Raw genomic sequence first — 4177 nt, forward strand, 5'->3', positions numbered from 1 at the left:
GGACCAGTCCCCACATTCAGCACGTGGGCTGGGTGGGTCCTGACATCTTCCTGGGCTCTGCCCAAGCCAGACACTCCACGCTCCTGGGAAAAGCACCAAAAATGCTGCCTTTCCACTTCTTCCTCTCAGACTCCTAATGATCCGTTTCCAGCCCAGCCGAGAGCCTTCCCACTCTCAGAACGGAACAGTCCGGATGTTCAGAGGACACGCTTCCCCACTTGACGCTCACTTAGGGCACTCTTCAAGCAGACGCCTGACTCAAGTGGGTCTCTGGACTTCCCCTTGACTCATAGGGGCTTCCTTTCCATCCAGGCCTGTGCGAGCCGGCCTCCTGTGCCAGAACACTCCCCGCTCTTCACAGACATGGAAGCCAAGAGGGGCTCTGAGGGCAGCTGGGCCTGACCTTGACTCCCGAGGGTCAGGAGGACGAGGCAGCAAACGCAGCCATTAGCTTGCCCACCTCCAGAGTCCTCCAGGGATCTGAAGAAGTGGCCTAGTCATGCCTGCTTGGTGTGATGGGCCGTGTTTCCTCTGATGAGCCTGTACCATGAAGGTCAGATTAAGGGGAGATTACAGGAGGATTCAGCCACGGCCACTGAGGTTGAGGATGGGCAGGAGACCCGCATGTCAGAGAGCTCAGGGATGGCGCTGCAGGGGTGGGAGCTAGACTTAGATGGCAGGAGCAGTCAGATTTGGAGAGGAAGACACAAAATATGCAAAGACAGTTTGGATTCTGAAGATTACAGGGGTGACAGGAAAGGGCCCTGAGCCAGGGGAGGGAGAGGAGGTGGATCTGGGGATTTCCCTTGGCGAGGACAATGGATGCTCTCTGACTTTGGAGATAACAGAGGATTCTAGGTGCAAAGAGCCAAATATGCAAACGAATGTAAAAGAAGAGGTGGGAGGGGCCCGGGAGAAAGGATTTCTAAAGGCATCCATCTCCGGGTCGGTCCTGCAGGCAAGGTGCGGGAGGCGCTGACACACGAGCAGGACCCTTGCTGGAGACCAGGCTCCCTGGCCGGCTGGTGTTTCTCAGCTGTGAGGCACCTGCTGTTCATTCTTGCTGTTTTCGTAAGCCCCACTATCTTATATTTGCTCAAGCAAGCTTTCTTGCTGACACAGAGGGTAGGAGACAGTCCATAAGGTGTGATTCTGTGGGCATCACCTTAAAGACCATCATAATGACTTGGAGTCTGTAGGGTGGGTGACGGTCCCTGCTGTAGAGAAGAAGAGGCCAAAGTGCTGGGGTGTGCGTGGCTTGGGGTCAGAGAGGTCTGGAATGAAGCACCAGCTTGCCCCTGTGTGACCAAAGCCCCCGGCCACATCCCATCTTGGTTCCCCTGTTGCTCATTGAACTAGATTCTGTTTTAAATGGTAAAATCCAGAGAAAGTAAATAGAATACAACCAGGAACATCACTGGCAGCCCCACCCTACCACCCAGATTCCCTGAGCATTCACATTCAGCCTTATCTGCTCCAGCCTGTCTCGGCTTTTTTCCTCCCCTTTCCGGGTGGGGTTGAAGGTCCCTGTGCATCCCCCACTGCACATCCAGGTCCCCACCTCCCTCCTTGGAGTTGGCTACTGGGCGGGCTGAAGCAGGTACGAACTGCCCCTCAGCTCTGACAGCCGTGAGTCAGCTGAGATTGCCGCTTCTTCAGTCTCCCTTTAGAGGCTGTGGACACAGGGGCTTCCATAGCAAGCTCCAGCCCCAGGGCCCTTCCATCCTTCCCAGACATCTCCTGAGGATAGAGGCCAGGTCCCCTGTGTCTTGTGTTAACCTCCCTGCTCCATGGAGGCCTAACACACAGTCTGTGTGTCATGGGTGTGGTTGGATGACTTTGGCTGAAGGCCCCACTCTAGGCCCCTCCCGACTCCCTTTCTCCAGAGCTTGGCCCCAGGCTGGCTGCAGCGGGAATTGATTTCAGGGCCAACAGGTAGCAGCTCCTAAATGTCGGTTGCTCCCCTAATCCTGTCTCTGCAGTTCCTAGGTTACTGACACCCTCTAGGTTTATCATCCCTTTTCCAGAGAAGGTGTGGGTTTATTCTTCTAGAGCCCTCAGATGTCTTAATACGGTACATGACTTGTAAAGTTCACACAGCAGAGACCTCACACACCGGGAACTTGGCTTCCAGCCAAGGGCTGAGCCAGGACCTGGAATGGTGGGTCCCATATGTGGGGTCTAAGTCAGGCCACATGAGCTGGGAGAGCCCAAGGGACAGCCAGTAGGGACCCAGGGTCATTGCTAAGTGAAGCCAAGGTCCTGGGCAAAGAATTTCAGCACACCTGGAGGCCTCTTTAGGTAGCACAGGGCTCTGTTTCACTGCTAGGGGAAGTGAGGCTCATGCCAGCGCCATCCACTCATGTCTTTGCTTAGATAAGAAGTCAGGGCTGCTTCTCCCGCTAAATGTCAGTCTCCCAAGCTGCCTTTCTCGCCTCTCATTTTTTGTCCTTAAGTCACGAGGACAGGATTCGCTGAGGCCCTGACTAGCTGTGACCCCGAGGATGATAGCCAGGCCACATTTGCTCTCTGATCAGAGGGAAGGATGATCCCTTCCCAACCTGGTCCTGCCACAGGGTGGTCAGGAGACACATAAGAGATGAGGTGTGTCACCCTAGGGGTGCTGTGCAGGCAAAGAGGATTAGAATTATTGCCCCCACCGTTGCAGGAAGACAGGCTCCTGGGCAGGAATGTTGTGAGCTCCAGGGGCACAGTGAGCAGGCCAGCCTGCAGGCCAGGGGTTTTCTGGGTAGTACCCAGGGAAGGACTAGGGCCTGGGGATCTGAGCAGGGTCTGCATTGCCCAGGTTTCTGGGGACCTGTCTGATGCCACCGCACGGAGCACTGGAGAGCTAGGCCCAAGCCCAGGGGTGGCCTGTCCCAGCAGCTACCTAGACCACTTGGAGAGGCCAGGAACCTCTGGGCAAGAAAACCTGATGAGATCCAGTTCAGGGCAAGGGCGGGGCAGGCACCGGGGTAGGGGGACAGGGATCTGCAAAATGTTAAGGGACCTCCTAGGGTGACCAGCTCTCCCGGTTTGGTCAGGACTGAGGAATCTCCTGGAATGTGGGACTTTTCTTGCTAAAATGAAAACAGTTCCAGACAAACTGGGATGGTTGGTCACCCTAAGGCCACCATTGCCTGGCCATTGTTTCCTTGGAGACGAATCACTGACTGGTTAGGGGAGCTGGAGAGTTTGGGGGGAAATGCGCACATCTAGCCTGCCCCTTCTGGCTCTGGCCTCCAGCCCTGCCTGCCTGCCTGCAAGGAGGGGCCTTCTGGCCTCTTGTGGGCCTTGTGATCAGATCCTGTTAACTGGGCCAGAACTACCTGGGCAGTGGGGAAAGGGGCTGAAATTTCTTAAGGCTCATTCAGGAGGAAGAATCAGGAAACCCACTGATCCCCCCCTGCTCTAAGCCAGGACCTCAGATCCAGCTTTGGACATAAGGCTGACATTTTCATCTCCATTGTCTGCCTCCTGGACTCTCTCTTAACTAGGTTCTAGACTTGGAAGGAGAGAGGGGTATTATTTGTTGGCCTCCTTGACCTTCCAATTGGCACAGAGTGGTAGGGGGTGTGGAACAAAACACTCAGGCCTCAGAAAGTTGTGTGAGTGACAATGGACTTGGGCAGTGGTGATACAGTCTCACCAAGAGGCAAGATTACAAGCCTAGGAGCATCCAGTGCAGCCCAGGTCAGGCCCACAGTTAGCATCTAATACATGGGAGCCACTATTATTATTCTTGCTATTGTAATTAGACTACCGGCTTTTACAGCGTTTTCATACTCATCACCTCAAGGCTTTCAGACAGCCCCAGGGAGTAGGTGGGAGGACATTTCTTTGTCCATGTTTGCCAGTTGAAGAAACAGGCCCAGAGAGGGCCCGTGAAAATCAGTGGCAGCCCCCAGGTCACAGTCTGGGGCTCCTGGCTCCAGGGCTGCCACAGCCTGTCTGGGCTGTGTCTGGCTGGAGGATGTCAGGGTAGGGGGTCAGGGTGTGAGTGTGTGGTGGGAGTGTCGGGAATAGGAGAGAGGGAGAGGGCATGGGGATGGAGAGAGAGGGAAGAATGGGGGGGGCTGCCGTTTTAGAATCTATGGTTATATTGAATTAAGATGTTTCAGTAAATCTTTAAGAATGAACGTGTGAGGGGCGTGGCTAAAATGAAGGGCCATGGCTA

The 4177-nt window shown here is 54.9% G+C and overlaps 1 annotated feature.

Annotated features, from left to right (window-relative positions):
• Positions 889-1765: an enhancer, noted in NCBI's record as "H3K4me1 hESC enhancer chr15:70505448-70506324 (GRCh37/hg19 assembly coordinates)". NCBI's record gives its function as "activates a minimal SCP1, AML or CMV promoter by ChIP-STARR-seq in naive H9 embryonic stem cells {active_cell/tissue: H9 hESC(naive)}" and the evidence as "EXISTENCE:reporter gene assay evidence [ECO:0000049][PMID:30033119]".

This window comes from Homo sapiens, chromosome 15, assembly GCF_000001405.40.
Source record: "Homo sapiens chromosome 15, GRCh38.p14 Primary Assembly".
NCBI classification, from domain to species: Eukaryota; Metazoa; Chordata; class Mammalia; order Primates; family Hominidae; genus Homo; species Homo sapiens.